Source organism: Homo sapiens, chromosome 14, assembly GCF_000001405.40.
Source record: "Homo sapiens chromosome 14, GRCh38.p14 Primary Assembly".
Lineage (NCBI taxonomy): Eukaryota > Metazoa > Chordata > Mammalia > Primates > Hominidae > Homo > Homo sapiens.
Genome location: NC_000014.9, coordinates 58,612,501 through 58,629,820, shown reverse-complemented (window position 1 = coordinate 58,629,820; position 17,320 = coordinate 58,612,501). Strand labels below are relative to the sequence as shown.

Genomic DNA, 17,320 nt, shown 5'->3' with positions numbered 1-17,320 from the left:
CTCAGCCTCTGGATAGCTGGGACTACAAGCATGCGCCACCACGCCCGGCTAGTTTTTGTATTTTTAGTGGAGACTGGGTTTCACCATGTTGGCCAGGCTGGTCTCAAACTCCTGACCTCAGGTGATCCACCCACTTGGGCCTCCCACAGTGCTAGGATTACAGGCATGAGCGACTGAGCCCAGTCTAACAGAGTTTTATTGAGCAAAGAACAATCTTGAATCAGGCAGCACCCCTCCCCACTTGATCAACACTGCCCTAACAAGAATAGGTTTAGAGGAACTCCTGGGGCTACCACATGGTCAGATAACATTTATGGGCAGAAAAAGGAAAGTGCCATACAGAAAAGAGAAGTGAGGTACAGAAACAGGGGGATTGGTTACAGCTTTGCTTTTGCCTTTTTGAACAGGATTTAAACAGTTGGCTGCCTGTGATTGACTAAAACTGATCTGCTGTGGTTTACAAGTCTGCTTGGACATCCAGTTAGGTTAAGATTCACTATATATGGAGAAACTTTTAGGCTGAACTTAAAATATGTAAGGAGGTTAAAACTCTGGTGCTGTTCAGAAGCGAGATTGTGCCTGTGAGTAGCCACTGCACTGCAGCCTAGGCAACATAGTGAGACCCCATTTCTATTTATTTAAAAATGCAAGGAGGCGGCTTTAGGCTAAAGTTAATTTAACACTATGTTACATAAATTAAAATTACGGCCATTATGCATAGAAACACTGAAGCCAAGAATGTGACTTTGAAAACTCAGAAGTGAATTCTTAGCTTAATTAATGTGGCCTCTCTTGTTCAATTAAACTCCTCAAGGGCAGGGATAAATTCTGTATCATCTCTAACTCTCTCAGAATGAAGCCCAATACAAAGCAGATACTCAACAAAAGCTTATTTAATGTAATCACCTTCAAAGTAGATTGAGATCGAATCCCCTGTCTGTGACACACCAGAAGGACTGACCTTGGAAAATTCTAGAAATAGACGTTTAGAAACAAACCAAAATGGGTGCTTTTCCTGTCTGCTCCACTTTCAGACATGTCTCTTGTGAGTTTGTGCCTCATAGGAAAATGTGAGGAAGCAGGAAAAAGAGAAACAGTTCCATTTCTGAAAAGATAAGAATAAAGTCTGATAAAGACAAAAGGCATTTGGGCTCAGTGGAGTTAAAACAAACTCAGACCGCTCAGCCTGTTTGAAGTTGAGGAGAAACAGAGAACGACCCATCAGTCCATTGTGGAGCACAAAGCAGCTTAATCAGCATTTCATCATGGGTCGCCCAGGCAAGGCCTGCGGGCACTGTGCAAAAAGCCCTGCCTATTTTTACCTAGAGGGCTTTTCTACCTGAACACGTGTGTGTGTTGCGTGTGTGTGAGGATGGGAAGTGACTTTCTTATTGCTCCCAGTAATGGAATTAATTCCTAAGAAGATTCTTGAACAATTGGTTCACTTTGGTTTGTCGTTAATTCAAGTTTACCTCTTTGTTATGATTCCAAGCACCTCACAGAGTCCTAAGCACCTCCAAGAGGTTTAATAAATGTTTGTTGAATTGGAGGAAGGGGTAGAAATCACTAGCATTAAAATATGAAACAAATACCATGTCCACTAGGGTGAGGGCTTTTCTAACTGTGCAAGCCCACCTGCCTGAGCACAGAAATATTTACGTTAAAAAGTGTTCAAACTCCAAGCCCTTCTGTCCTGCTGAACATGTACCCAGCAGACCCAAATATATTCTGAATGATACTGGGCTCTTCCCAGGAAGGCTGGATCATACCTTGCCAACTGCCAGCAGCTGCTTCGGTCAGAACAGAGGGAGGAAAACTTGGTTCTGCTGCACCACGGGGGGGTGTCCCTGTATGCATCACGCTGCACCGTGCACCTGGGGGATTTCACTGGCTTAGAAAAACCAACACAGAAAAAGAGCCCCGAGCTTCCATGCACACCTTTTCCTTTCCTTTTTAGCTCATTTCTACATGAAGGAATTCAGTGTCTGTTTTTGGAATTTTTTTTTTTTTTTTTTTTGAGAAGTAGTCTCACTCTGTCACCCAGGCTGGAGTGCAGTGGCTCAACCTCGGCTCACTGCAACCTCCACCTCCTGGGTTCAAGCGATTCTCCTGCCTTGGGCTCCCCAGTAGCTGGGATTACGGGCACATGCCACCATGCCTGGCTAATTTTTTGTATTTTAGTAGAGATGGGGTTTCACCATGTTGGCTGGAATGGTCTCGATCTCCTGACCTCGTGATCTGCCCGCCTCAGCCTCCCAAAGTGCTCAGATTACAGGCGTGAGCCACTGCACCCAGCCTCAGTTTCTGTTTTTAATAGAGCTGAGCCCAATTTAGAATTACAGCACATACTACTCTTGTATCTATACCAGTTGTGTCTTCTGACATCCAAACGACGTCACCCAACCCGTTCCACCCTCCTTCCCTTTGGAATATCCCCACTCCTTTGAAGACCCCCAATAAGCATCTTGGCTATGGAAGGCAATAGAAATGAAAGAGGATCCTTGGCACACCAGCTCCTGTTGAAGAAACACAGAAAACTGAGAGCAGTTTAGCATGTGACCCACGCAAGGACTTTATTTGTTAATAACTCAAGCAGGGAAGAATACAGATACATACAGTCTTTGTTCCTGTATATCACCAGGTAATTGCCCAAGGTTTTGGTCTTTACCAAAAGTCGTCATCCTGTCCAATTTATCTTCCAAAAGAACATAAAGTTAGTTTTTTTTTTTTTTTTTTTTGAGACAGAGTTTTGGTCTTGTTGCCCAGGCTTGAGTACAATGGCGCGATCTCGGCTCACTGCAACCTCCGCCTCCTGGGTTCAAGTGATTCTCCTGCCTCAGCCTCCCGAGTAGCCGGGATTACAGGTGACTGCCACCATGCCCAGCTAATATTTTGTATTTTTAGTAGAGACGGGGTTTCAACATGTTGGTCAGGCTGGTCTTGAACTCCTGACCTCAAGTGATCCACCCACCTCGGCCTCCCAAAGTGCTGGAATTACAGGCGTTGAGTCACTGCACCCGGCCTCTAAAATTAGCTCTTTTACCTTTCCCCCAGGTCATCAGAAAGAACAAAAGTCCAAAGCTATGTGATGATGTTTCAGTCTTTTATGTATCCCTTGTACTCTGCATTCAGACTGGAATCCTGTTAGAAGAATGTGAGTAATGAGGCTACTACATTTCCTATTGACCCAGCTGTTTATAAACAAAGCTCTTCCTTCTAGGAAAGGCAGTGACATTTAAATTGCTGCAAATTATCAGCCTCGACTCATCTGAATTTCTGTCATCTGAATTTCATCTGAGCACTGTGCTACTCATTCAGGAAATGGGAACCACAAGAAGTTTCCCTTTTTTTCAAATTGCCTCCAGATGTGGCATACAGAGGAATCTTTATTAAAATATCACACAGTAGCCAGGGCTCCATAATTTCTTCTGTCACCTTGGTCAGAAGATGAATAACAAACCAGTGATTGTAGAAAAAAGCTCTGGGTGTTGTCTGCAAAGGCCTCACCCAGCTTCCATAGGCTCCAGCCACCTTACCTCAACTTGTCTTTTTTCCATAGTGCCTTATTACACTATGTCAATTTATTTATTTATTATATTCGCTGTTAATTGCCTGTCTCATCTGCTAGAATGCAAACTCCCCAAAGGCAGGGATCTTGTTTTGTTCACTAATATACCTCAAGGGCCTATAACAGTGCCTCGCACACTGCGCTTGCTCAAATAAGTGTTTATTGAGTAAATGAATTAAAAAGCCAATCTCATTAGAGCAAGATCTCTAGCCCTGACCTCAAAATTGACACGAATGCCACATGTCCTATTCTATATAGGCCCCTAAAGTGTCACAGGATAATCCCAATATTATTTCCAAATACCCTTCACTTTCTCTCAACCCCATCCCGCTTCTCTTCCCAAAGCACCTATTTTTATCAATGATAACACAATCTGTTAAGCCCTTACACTAAAATTCTTGTTCTTCCTGTTCCTTTTACCTCTTTTTTAATCCCCCAGGTCACTAATTTATCAAATTCCTGAAGACACTTCCTTTCAAATATCTCCAACTTGTCCCTTCCTCTCTATTCTCATTGCCCTTGTCTACACAATTATCACCTCAAATAGACTCTTAATTGGCCTCCTAGCTCCTAGTCTCTCCCTCCTACAGGTTCTTTTGCATATCATAAGCATTGTTTTGATCACAGCTGTTCTCTTCCAAAGCTGTCTGTGATCCGGCCCACCTAGCAAACCCTACCTCCCTGAGTGGTCAAATGGTCAGGAGTTAAGTCTTGAAAAAATAGAAAGTGTTGCTTAGGCAAATGAGATCCTGTGTGTAGGGTGAAGAAAAGGGGCCAGAGACAAGACCATAACTGCCAGGCAAAAGCATTATTTGAACTCCGTCCTGGGAGACATGAAGGACAAACTGTTGGAAGAGGTCTAGATCAAGGGAACAACGGATGAAAAGGGTGATTTACGAAGCATAATCTGGTGAATGGATTAGAGGTGCCATTTGAGGAAAGACTGACTGGAGGCAGAATTCATAGATGAATAATCAAAAATCAAAGATATTTGATTATTAATTCAACAGTTACCTACTGAGTGCCCATGATATTGCAGGCAGTGTTCAAGGTCCCGGTGATGCAGCAGGGAACAGTAATTTCTTGGGAGTCCGGGAAGAGATAGAGAGACAGCACTGAAGAAGCCACCCACAGCCCTCTCTCCTTGTGCTCGCCTGGCTACTTTTCCTGGCCCCAGACAATCTCTCAGATTTAAAATAAGCTGCTAGCCAGGCTAGTCATCACTACACCAATTCTCTTGCTCAAAGATGTTGCTCTTGAAGAACTGGACCACAGGTTAGCTAGGAAAAATGAAGGAAATGTTTCCTCTCAGTCAAGAGTCAACAAACTTTTTCTGTAAATAGCCAAATAGTAAATATTTTAGGCTTGTGTACCCTACAGTCTTGGTCACAACTACTCAACTCTGTCATTGTAGCACAAAAGTAGCTACAGACAAGTAACAAGAGAACATGGGTATGTTCCAATAAAAGTTTATTTATAAAAATAGGTAGAAGGGGCTGGGCGCGGTGGCTTATACCTGTAATCCTAGCACTTTGGGAGGCTGAGGCGGGCAGATCACGAGGTCAGGAGTTCGAGACCAGCCTGACCAACATGGTGATACCCTGTCTCTACTAAAAATACAAAAATTAGCCAGGCATGGTGGCGTGCGCCTACAATCTCAGCTACTCAGGAGTCTGAGGCAGGGGAATCACTTCATCACGGGAGGCAGAGGTTTCAGTGAGCCGAGATCGCACCACTGCCCTCCAGCCTGGGCAACAGAGTGAGACTCCATCTCAAAAAAATAAAAATAAAAAAAAAATAAGTAGAGGTCAGTTCACTGACCTCTGCCCTAAGATACCATGATATTTTTAAACTGAATGCTCAGTTATAATTAAGAGAGGCAGCGTTAGGGAGGATATAAAAAGAATCACTTTGGGAGTGCAGAAAGCTGGAATAGAATCCTAACTTTACAACACACTATGAGGCATTAGGAAACTAAACCTGTATCTTAATGCCTAAAATGAGAAATAACACAGCAAAGTGGCCTACACAGTCAGAGAGCTTGGGTTCAAATTCCAGCTCTGCCACTTTCTACCTTTGTAATACTGGGGTTCAGAAAACAATGCCCCAAAATGAAGGCCTCAGCAGCAGCTTCGGAAGCAAAAGGTTTTTTCTGACCACCTTCTCCCGTTCTCCTGTCTCTTAGTCCCATTCTCCCCCTAGGCCAGCCATAGAAACCAGAATCTTTTTTCCCTAAGGTGGGTCATACAAACCAAAACAGCTTTTCCCCAAAACTAGTCATAAAACCTAAAAAGATTTTATGTAAAAACTGGCCATAAAGAAATTATCTGACCTACTTTGTTGGATTGTAGGTCATAAGACCGCCATTCCAGGGAGGGCCCTACCCACACCCAGAAGGAAGGAATACTTGCTCAGAGGGGCCAAGATGAATCTCGACAGAGAAGCCTTGCTGGGTTTCCCTATGCATTTTATTAGCATTAGATCATACACTTTATTTTTGTATTTATTTGTTTATTTATTTTTTGAGACAAGGTCTCACTCTGTGACCCAGGCTGGAGTGCAGTAGTGTAATTTCAGCTCACTGCAGCCTCGACCTCCTGGGCTCAGGTGATCCTCCCCCATGCACCTCCCAAGTAGGTGGGACTACAGGCATGCACCACCATTCCCAGCTAAATTTTTTTGTATTTCTAGAGATGGGGTTTCTCCATGTTGCCCAGGCTGGTCTCAAACTCCTGACCTCAAGTGATCCACCTGCCTCAGCCTCCCAAAGTGTTGGGATTTACAGATGTGTGCCATCATGCCCAGCTTGTCCGATCATATTAGATATTTCTACACAGCTATCCATACTTTGTTAAACCTAAGCACAAAAATGGACAATTTCTTCTGTATCTTGGGGTCTTCAGTCTTTCTGTTTGTTTTTGTTTGTCTGTTTTTAAGACAGAGTCTTGCTCTGTTGCACAGGCTGGAGTGCTGTGGCGGTCATAGCTCACTACAGCCTCAAACTCCTGAGTTCAAATGATTCCCCCCCTCTTCAGTCCCACATGTAGCTGGGGTCACAGGTGCACACCACCATGCCAGGCTAATTTTTCTTCTTTTTAGTAAAGACAAGGTCTTACCATGTTGCCCAGGCTGGTCTCGAACTCCTTGGCCTCAAATGATCCTCCCACCTCAGCCTCCCAAAGTGCTAGAATTGCAGGCCTGAGCCACAGCACCTGGCTAGATCTTCATCCTGAAGGCTCCCATGTAAACACATTAAAAAAATTTGTATGTCTTTTCTCCAATTAATCTATCTGCCTCATGTCAGTGATTTTTCGGTGAACCCTTAAGGGGCTAAAGGCCATGTCCCCCTCTGTGGTCTTGAGCAGGCTTCTTAGTCTCTCTGAGCTCCTCTACTGTTTTTCATGGGCGTAAAAAATATCACCTTCCTCACTGAGAGGATTAAATGAGATCGTGTATATCAAGTGCCTGGCACAAGGTAAGCACTTGATCATTGTTATCTATCATCATTATTATATTACCATGAAATTTCCCAAGGAGTGGTTATTGAGACAGTATGTGAAAGTATTCATTTTGTTATTTCAGAGATTAAAATCAGAGAGGACTTGCTGTTTTTACACTCCTGTACTTCCTAAATATTTTTCACACAACCACAGGAAGCTGAAAAGTCACCTTGTAAGCCAGCCACTGCTTTTTCAGATGATTGCCTTTAAGTGGCTTTCAAATTCTGAAGATTATCATGCATAATGTATTATGCTTATGTCAGGATTAAATTTTTTCCGTTGATTTTCTTCCTGCCTCCATCAAGGATTTTGTTGGACGGAACTTCATCTCAGGAGGAGGCTGCTTTTGCTTCTCCACATTGTGAGTACAAAGAGTCTATTTTAGGGTTAGTGTCCTTAAATCAATTAATGTGATTTTCTTGGTCTCCAATTACAGACAAGTTAAAATTCTTCAGTACACCCTAGACTTCCCCAGCATCCCAATCAGTCCAACAGCTCTAGGAGGAAACTGAGGACTGGGTTATAGGTAGTTCCTTTTAGAATACCCTGTCCTCCCAGGGAATTGGTGCCAGGTCTCAAGAAAGAAAGCAGGTTCATGACCCTTAGGAAACTCTTCCGATCTAAGGCACTGTGACCAGTTTAATTTGAATACATACATAACTTTTCAAAGTATAAAAAAATATATATATATGTTGTTGTTATTGTCTTGCACATATCAAGAATAATATTGCTCCCTCCAAAGTACCCTAAAGCAAAGGTGGTCTTCTTTGAGTGAGACTCTCTAGGACTGTCTTTGTTGTCTGTTGTACTTTATTCAAATGTGTCGCAGAAATCTTCATGGTTATTTATGTAGTGATCTTCTGAGCTGTGGGCATAGACTGTTTCTTCTGCTCAGGTAATCATTAGTCAGCACAGCGGCCTTCTCTTTGCCAGCTCAGAGAGTAGCAGGCTGCATTACAGGTTGTCTCCTTCTACCAGACAATCGGAGCCCCTGTATAAGTTGTGCTCTTTGATAGTTATGCTCTTAATCAGCCGCAGGGGCGAAGGCAGTAAACAGTAATTAATATGCAAATTTGCAAGTAACCTGCCTCTCTGTGCTGAGGCTTCTTTGTTTGTTTGTACAATCTTGGACAAACTGGGGTTTGTCTGATTCGTAATTAGCAGGATAAATATAAAATTATGACATTAATTGTTAGCTAGCTTTTTAAAAATGGTAGTATACCCCTGCTGTGCCTGAGATGCTGCAGCTCAGTAGGGGGTTCCTTCAAAAATGAATTTTAAAATGCCAAAATACCCATTTTAATTAAAAGGCAAACACTGAAATGAGTTTGGCACTTCAGAAATCATAGTTACCGGGCAACAAATCATCGATGCATATATTAACAATTAGTATTTCTACGTTAGTTGACCTTATCCCAGTGCAAAAAGAGAGGATCACTCTTTCTAATAATAATAACGAAGAGTAATATTTATTAAGTGCTCTGCACCAGTTACTGTGCTAAGCACTTTTCTTGCATTATTTCAGTGAATCTTCACAACAGCTAAGCTAGGTGCTGCTGTTAATATCCACATACAGATGTGGAAGTTGAAGCTTTAGATAGGTTTTCTAAAGATAAGCTTTTCTGGTTCTATTCTCTCATTGTGGTATCCTCATGACTACCTACAGCTCCCATTTCTTTTCTAGTTCTCCCTTCTCTGAGAAGTCTACCATTTAGCTACTTTCAACTAATTCTTCATCAGCAAGCTGATGATGGCCCAAACCATATCTCTAGCTCTGACCTGTCTCTTAAATTCTAGTCCACAAAAGATGGTCACTTCTGCTACTGACTGAAGCCCAGATTTCGTAGTCTGACATTGAAGACTCTCCACAGTCTGGCCCAGCTACTTTCTAACTTTTATTTCCCATTTTACCCTTTCATTATTCAGTTCAGCTCCCAAGGCACTATATTTGTCCCTGTGGGTGAGGTGGGGTAGCAAAAAGGGGAAAGTGAAATTTTAAAAAGCACTTATTGTCAAGGAGTTTGGTGGTGGGGGGTTAGGGGAGAGAATTTGAAGGAAGCAAAGATCAAATTCCAAACTACAGATTTTTGATTGCCCTGTAGGTAGAAAAGTAGAAATAGGAAACCAGGGCCTCTCTCTTGGTAACACAGCCCAGTGCCTTAAATATCACATAATGCCCATAAAACGCTTGATAAGGGTTTTCTTCCAACCCCATCTATATATCCCTAGAAGCAATTTCTTTCCTTCCAAGTCCTACCTCGACGTTGCCTCACCCAGAAAGCCTTCTCCTGCTTCTCCAGAGCAGACTCAGGCATCCTTCTGCTCTACTAGCACCCTACAGCCATCCTTTGCCAATTACAGGATGATATCACACCTTGGTGTAACAATGTGTTTGTCGGGACTGTCTCCCTACTAGACAACAGTGAGCACTCTGAGGTTAGAAAGAGGGTCATTTCCCTTTCTGTCTCATGCCTAGCACAGGGCTTGGCACCCAGCTGGCACTCAGGAACTGCTGCTCCTTGCAAGCAGCCAGTGTCAGACCTGCTAACAAAGTTAAAATGCACCTTCAGAGAGGAAATTAACAATGCAAAGCAGAGGACAGTGAAAAGAGACCTGGGGGAGTAGCTGAGTAAAATCGACCCCTAGACTGGCCTTGAGCAAGTGATCTCTAAAAAACTTAGCTGACTGGTGAGGGCTAGGAATTAGAGGGGTTGCAAGATGAAGTGAAATGACTTCAGAAACCGCTCCACTCCAGGACTCTGAAACAAAACACCCCAGGCACTGCTCTGGAGGCCTAGTCTTTGGATCTGGCCACTTTGGACAGGTTTTTGGGGGAGAGGAGGAGGTGTATAATTTACTCTGGTCTTTTAGGAGACAATGAAATAATGGCTGCATTAGAAAGCAATTTCCCCACTGCTGCCTTAGTAGTCATTAGAAATCTGTGGGACCTTAACTTCAATGGATGCTCAAACGGATACATACCATCAGCCTGAGAGCTGTGAGGTTTCTTTCTGGTATTGTCTGTGGCTCCAAATAGTGTGGTCAAGGCAGGAGGCAGGAGGAAGAAGTATGGGGAGACGCAAAGCAAGCATCTCCATGTTTTCTTTCTTTATTTCTTTTTTCTTTTTTTTTTGAGACAGAGTCTCACTCTGTCCCAGGCTGGAGTACTGTGGCGCAATCTCAGCTCACTGCAACCTCCGCCTCCCGGGCTCAAGCTATTCTCCTGCCTCATCATCCCGAGTAGCTGGGATTACAAGTGCGCGCCACCACGCTCGGCTAATTTTTTTATTTTTAGTAGAGATGGGGTTTCACCACACTGGCCAGGCTGGTCTTGAACTCCTGACCTCGTGATCCACCCGCCTCGGCCTCCCAAAGTGCTGGGATTACAGGTGTCAGTCACTGCGCCCAGCCTTTTGTTTGTTTGTTTTTGTTTTTGTTTGTTGTTATTGTTGTTGTTTTAAGACAGAGTCTCCCTCTGTCACCCAGGCTGGAGTGCAATGGCGCGATCTCAGCTCACTGCAACCTCCTCCACCTCCAGGGTTCAAGAGATGCTCATTCCTCAGCCTCCCGAGTAGCTGGGACTACAGGTGGGTGCCACCACACCCAGCTAATTTTTGTATTATTAGTAGAGATGGGGTTTCACCACATTGGCCAGGCTGATCTCGAACTCCTGACCTCAGGTGATCCGCCTGCCTCAGCCTCCCAAAGTGCTGGGATTACAGGCGTGAGCCACCACACCCAGCCGCATCTCCACGTTTTCAATATGCCTTCAACCTCCCCCTCCTCCCTCCATAAGACCCTCCCCGATTAGCCACAGAAGATTGCCACAGCGTCAGTTATCAAAGGGTAGGAGATTGTCCCAAAACACACACTTTGGGGCTACAGCTTGAACGAGTCCTGGGCCATTCTCCTAGGACTCAGCCCTCCTCCCTAGTGCTGACCTAGCCACTTTGTTCTCTAGTTTTCCAGGCTTCTACCCCAGCTCTTTCTAGAGCCTTTGCACAGATTGCAAGGCACAATGCAGTGGGAACTGAGGAGAAGAAGCCAGAGGGTGTTTGGGAGCAAGCATCTGTTGATTCAACTTCTGCCACCTCCAGCAGCTACAGTCTGAATTCTCGTTCTTCTGCCCTGTACCCATACTCTTCATCCAGAACAGGTCCGCTTTTATTATTTTTATTTTTCGGTGTTCCACATAAAAGTTTATTTTTAAAAAGGAGAGTTCTTCTGTTTAAAAAGAGAGACAGCAGAAAACAAAAACAAACAAAAAAAACCTATGACTCTAACATCACTCATGAATCAGGCAATCAGGCCGGGTGCCGTGGCTCACGCCTATAATCCCAGCACTTTGGGAGGCCAAGGCGGATGGATCACTTGAGGTCAGGAGTTCGAGACCAGCATGGGCAACATGGTGAAACCCCATCTCTACAAATACAAAAATTTGCTGGGTGTGGTGGTATATGCCTGTAGTCTCAGCTACTCAGGAGGTTGGGGCACGAGAATTGCTTGAACCCAAAAGGTGGAGGTTGCAGTGAGCTGAGATCACATCAGTGCACTCAAGCCTGAGCAACAGAGCAGGACTCTGTCTCTAAATAAATAAATATAAAAAATAAAATAACAAAATTAAAATATATATGAAAAATCAGACAATCACGTGTAGTAGATAAGAGGAGGGATTGAAGGCCAAATAGCCAGCCAGGGCTAGATCCTGGCTTTGTCATTTACTTGCTGCATAACTTTGTGCAAGTTACTTCATTTTTAGTCCCTGTTCCTTAGTTTATTTATCTGAAAAATGTGGCTAATGATCTTGCCTCCCTCACGAGGTTGTTGTGAAACTTTTACTATCATTAGAACCTGTCCTCCACAAGGGCAAGGATTTTTTTTTTTTTTCTGTTTTGTTCATTTCTGTATCCCAAGCACCTAAAACAGTCTCTGGCACATAGAAAGTACTCAATAAATAATTGTTGAATGGATTGAATGAACACATTTTGCAACTCTCATTCCTTGTGGTTTTGGAAGCCACAAAATAATATTACTTCCTTTGCTCCTGCTCCTATCAATTGGTCCCTGATCTTCTGTGTCTTGCAGCCTGTAGAAGTGATGCTTCAATAAAGAACATGACCTGGGAGAAAAGGCTCTGCATGAGAAGGATGAGAAACGTTCTGGGACAAGCTTGTCTCTTCCATATCTGCGGCCTCAGTTTCCCCTCACTATTAAATTCTAGGGTTGGGCTGGGCTCAGCGGCTCACGCCTGTAGTCCCAGCATTTTGGAAGGCTCAGGCAGGCGGATCACCTGAGGTCAGGAGTTCGAGACCAGCCTGGCCAACATGGTGAAACCCCATCTCTACTAAAAATATAAAAATTAGCCAGGTGTGGTGGCGGGCACCTGTAATCCCAGCTACTCTGGAGGCTAAGGCAGGAGAATCACTTGAACCTGAGAAGCAGAGGTTGCAGTGAGCTGAGCTTGTGCCACTTTAGTCCAGCCTGGGCGACAGAGCAAGACTCTGTCTCAATCAATCAATCAATCAATTAATTAATTCTAGGGTTGGAAGCAGAAGATGCAAGTACATGACTCAGCTAGGTGACTGACCATAAAAGATACCTGATCACAGGCTGGAAGTGAAACTAGATGGCTAGGCCGGGTGCAGTGGCTCAGTGCCTGTAATCCCAGCACTTTGGAAGGCCAAGGCAGGCGGATCACTTGAGGTCATGAGTTTGAGACCAGACTGGCCAACATGGTGAAACCCCATTTCTACCAAAAAAAAAAAAAAAAAAAAATTAGCCAGGAGTAGTGGCGGGCACCCAGTAGTCTCAGCTACTCGGGAATCTGAGGCAGGAGACTCACTTGAACCCTGGAGGCAGAGGTTGCAGTGAGCTGAGATTGTGCCACTTGCATTCCAGCCTGGGTGATAGAGTGAGACTCTGTCTCAAAAAAGAAAATAAAAAAAAAAAAAAAAAGAAAGAAAGTAAAAAAGAAACTAAATGGCTAATTTGGTAAAAATAGGTAGGCTCACAGAGTCATGGTGCCAGAAAATAATCATAAACATTTCTCAAAGAGCCATCAAAAATTATTCGAAAATCTGAAATTCTTTTCTCAAATCACAGTATGCTGCTTCTCCATTACAACTGATTAAATGTTTTCATATAATGGTCACTCAAAATTCCATGAAGGAAAGGGGTATCGACCTGAAGATTTAAGAGCTCTTTTAAAGAAAGCCTTCCTTGCCTCTCTGAAAACCTATCAAACCTGTGGATTCCATGTGGGCACAGAGTGAGGATGCCCATGAGCGCTGCCCCTCACCTAGGAAAGAAGCTCGTCAATGCAACTACACACTCAAGATTCATTACAGTTAGTTCAGGTGAAATTACATGTATTAGTAATTTCAGATTCGATTATTTACATAATAACAATTACTATTGAAATGTGCCTGTGCAGTTGACACCCATGAATAATGGAGAAGCACACACCATACTTAGTACACATGATAGACTTTTATCCAGGCATTCAAGAAAAGACTGAGGAGTGGTACAAATTATTATTGGTAGTAGGGCAAACAATAGTGCCTCATTGGACAATTGCATGTTAGTGAAGCCTAGCAAAGAAGCCAGTCTCCATTCTCCCCTTGCAATAAGCTGTACCTGACACATAGGAGTAATAGTTTACTCTAAAACACCCTCAAATCACTTTTGAAACTTGCACAGCTCAGCTCTGGGGGATATAGAATTTCCTTTTTTTTGTTTTTGTTTTTGTTTACATTAGGAACTTGGCCTTTCCTTTTAGTTATGGTACCTGTGCTTAGTGGGGCTTCAGCGTATTGTAGACCTTGTCATCACTTAATAGTAGAAAGCAACCTTCTCACCTGCCATAATCAGGCTTTCCAATTCCATAGACGTAGGTATGTTAGCGGCCTGAAGCGTACTCGGAGAATGCAGAGATCTTGGCATTTAAGCCTAGTGTAACACTTCTGACCTAGGTTTCTCCCACATTTGGAGGTTATCAGTCCTTTTTTGTCAGATTTGTGATGTGCCCTAGCTGAAGTGGAAGCTCTCCTGTCACTTTCTAGCCTCTCTCTTTCTTTCCATGTGCTGTGAACTCTGTCTAGCATCTTTTGAGCATTCATTCTTTCATTCTTTAAGCAGTCCTTGAGCACCTACTAGGAGTCAGGCATTGTGCACGGCACTGAAAAATGCAGCCCTTGATCTCCTTCTGGTGGCCACTGTCTCTGCTATTGATTCTTTCCTCCCTCCATCAACCTGGACATTAGTAGTCCAACCTTTACTTTATTTCTTCATTATTATTATGTTAATAATACATGCTCTTTGAAGAACAAATAGGACGTACAGATAGAAAAAAAGATTTTTGAAATTTGAAATCATTTAATCATTACTTTTTCTCTCCAGGAAAGCAGAGATCATAATGCAAGATACAACATAAAAGGGGTAAAGAGCTATTTATCTTGTTTAACTTTTCTTTTTTTTTAAGACAGAGTCTCACTCCATCACCCAGGCTGGAATGCAATGGTGCAATCTCAGCTCACTGCAACCTCTGCCTCCAGGGTTCAAGTGATTCTCCTGTATTTTCACTCTGTATTTTCAGTGTCTGCCATGTCACACCTCATAGTGTGTGATATGCATGTGAGGTGAACACAGTTCTCATGTTAATCCATGTTAAATGTGACAGACAACTGGTGACACTCTGTCTCTCTTCTCCTGAACCTTTCCATGTGACACAAAACCAACACTTCTCTCTTAAGGATATGTGCTGGGCACCCACTGATAAAACAAAGAGCACCATGACACAAGCAAGCCCTTGTCATGGCTACTGACTCCTGATTTCAGGTGGTGGCAGGGCAAGTATTTGAAGCTGCTGCCCTACTGGCCACTTGGTGTGCCAACTATTTGTGCCATGGCCAGTGCCACAGCCTGGGAGATACTGGGGTCAATGAGAAACATAGGATGTATGGACACCGCAGTGTATAACATATGTGAGAAAGTCTAGAGATTAAGTTCTTTTTTTTTTTTTCTTTTGAGATGGAGTCTCGCTCTTGTAGCCCAGGCTGGAGTGCAGTGGCACAATCGCAGCTCATGGCAACCTCTGCCTCCCAGATTCAAGCGATTCTCCTGCCTCAGCCTCCCAAGTAGCTGGGATTACAGGCACAGGCCACCATGCCTGGCTAATTTTTGTATTTTTAGTAGAGACAGGGTTTCACCATGTTGGCCAGGCTGGTCTAGAACTCCTGACCTCAAGTGATCCACCTGCCTCGGCCTCCCAAAGTGCTGGGATTACAGGCATGAGCCACCATGCCCAGCCAAGATTAAGTCCTTACATAGTGGTTTTGCCATTTACTGTAAATCTACAGTTATTTATTTTATTGATAATGTGTTTATATGCATTAAATCCTTTGACAGCCATGAGAGCTATAGAAGGAAATAGAAATCAATAGAGGTGAAATTTAATGAAAAATTAAGTACTAAACATCCAATTTAAGAAAGTTAATAGTGAACATGTTTCTTGGACAAAAAGTTTGTTGACATTTGTCATTCTCCATGGGGGTCATAATGATACCATTGCCTACATGAGAATCAAAAGGCTAAGTCTGCCAAGGAAGCAAAGGTATCAATGGTTAATAGTTATTTTTAAGGATGTGCTGGCAGAAAAGTTAACCACTAAAGCTTCAGGAGGTCCATTTACATATCACTCTGAAGCTTGACTTTTTGTTTCAATCAAATGAATGTTCTTCTAGACATGTTTTAATATATTTTTCCATTTTAAGTTTCCCTGTGTACATAGAAAAAGTAAAACAAGAAATGTTATGTATTGTTTCCATTAACAGAATCACAGTTAATTATCACCAGTTTTATGTCAGCATCATCATTCACTTTATTTATTTTTGTTGTTGAGACACAGTCTCCCTCTGTCACCTAGGATGAAGTGCAGTGACACTATCTCAGCTCACTGCAACCTCTGCCTCCCGGGTTCAAGTGATTCTCGTGCCTCAGCCTCCTAAGTAGCTGGGATTACGGCCACATGTCATCACACCCAGCTAATTTTTCTATTTTTAGTGGAGACAGGGTTTCGTCATGTTGGCCAGGGTGGTCTCGAACTCCTGACCTCAAGTGATCCACCCTCTTGGCCTCCCAAAGTGCTGGGATTATAGGCATGAACCACCACACCCAGCCTATTTATTTTAAATAGAAAATCTTTTAATTGCAATATTGGGTCAATTTTTAAAAATCTAATTCTTGGAATCGAAATAGAGCTTTTAGATGTTAATTTTGTCACACCGATATCATTGTGAATGAGTTTGAAAATTCTATGTAAAAGTAGGAATTTGAAAATAAATTTACTTCTGTGGTGATAATAATACAGGTTTTGGTAGAGCAGAAAGTCATGATAAAAACAGTGTTCTCCAGTTGTGGAGCAGAAATGTACTAAGAATTGGTGTAGTTATAATTTACAGTCATATTCAAACAAGTTGTGATATTCTACCAATCAATGAAGAAGTTGTGGTTGATAAAGTGAACAAATATGATTAAATACAGTGTTATGAACTACAAAGCTGATGTTGAACACTCTTAATTATGCCAGCATGGCACTATGTGCTTTGTCTTTTTTTCTGTTATTTGTAGAATTTTAGAAATACTTGAGCCTTTGAAGAACTATTTTATATATTAACCTAAGTGCCTATCAATGACATTGAACATTTATATAAAAAATTCTTCTGAATTTGGCCTGCATTTTATTCAAAATTAGTTGGAAATATTAAGTCAAAGTGCTTATTAAATAAAATGTGAAATATTTCAGGCTGTTGATGCTTTAATAAATTGCAATTATTGAAAACAAAGCTTGCAAATGAAAAATATCAAAATGTATTCTGACAAAAGCAAGAGGAAAGTGAATAAACTAGAAAAGAGAGCTCAAACGATCCATGATTATGCTTCAGAATATATCATCTCGTGGGAAATATCTTTTGATAACATTCCTGTTTTAACTGGATAAATTCATATTCTGTACCAGAATGGGAAAATTATTCAGAAGGTCTTCAGTTTGGGGGCACCTACATTTGGTATAACATTCAAGAAAAGATTGGTAAATAGAGACAACTTTTTTCAATGAATTTTTATTTATAAAATTATTTGCTGAAATATTTATTTTACTTTTCACTTTTTTAGATGAAGTCTCACTCTGTTGCCCATGCTGGAGTGCAGTGAGACGATCTCAGCTCACTGCAACCTCCACCTCCCAGGTTCAAGT

General features: G+C 42.5%; 3 annotated features.

Moving 5' to 3' along the window:
• Positions 765–1,651: an enhancer, noted in NCBI's record as "OCT4-NANOG-H3K27ac-H3K4me1 hESC enhancer chr14:59094888-59095774 (GRCh37/hg19 assembly coordinates)". NCBI's record gives its function as "activates a minimal SCP1, AML or CMV promoter by ChIP-STARR-seq in naive H9 embryonic stem cells {active_cell/tissue: H9 hESC(naive)}" and the evidence as "EXISTENCE:reporter gene assay evidence [ECO:0000049][PMID:30033119]".
• Positions 2,838–3,462: an enhancer, noted in NCBI's record as "OCT4-NANOG hESC enhancer chr14:59093077-59093701 (GRCh37/hg19 assembly coordinates)". NCBI's record gives its function as "activates a minimal SCP1, AML or CMV promoter by ChIP-STARR-seq in primed H9 embryonic stem cells {active_cell/tissue: H9 hESC(primed)}" and the evidence as "EXISTENCE:reporter gene assay evidence [ECO:0000049][PMID:30033119]".
• Positions 3,747–4,458: an enhancer, noted in NCBI's record as "OCT4-NANOG-H3K27ac hESC enhancer chr14:59092081-59092792 (GRCh37/hg19 assembly coordinates)". NCBI's record gives its function as "activates a minimal SCP1, AML or CMV promoter by ChIP-STARR-seq in naive and primed H9 embryonic stem cells {active_cell/tissue: H9 hESC(naive and primed)}" and the evidence as "EXISTENCE:reporter gene assay evidence [ECO:0000049][PMID:30033119]".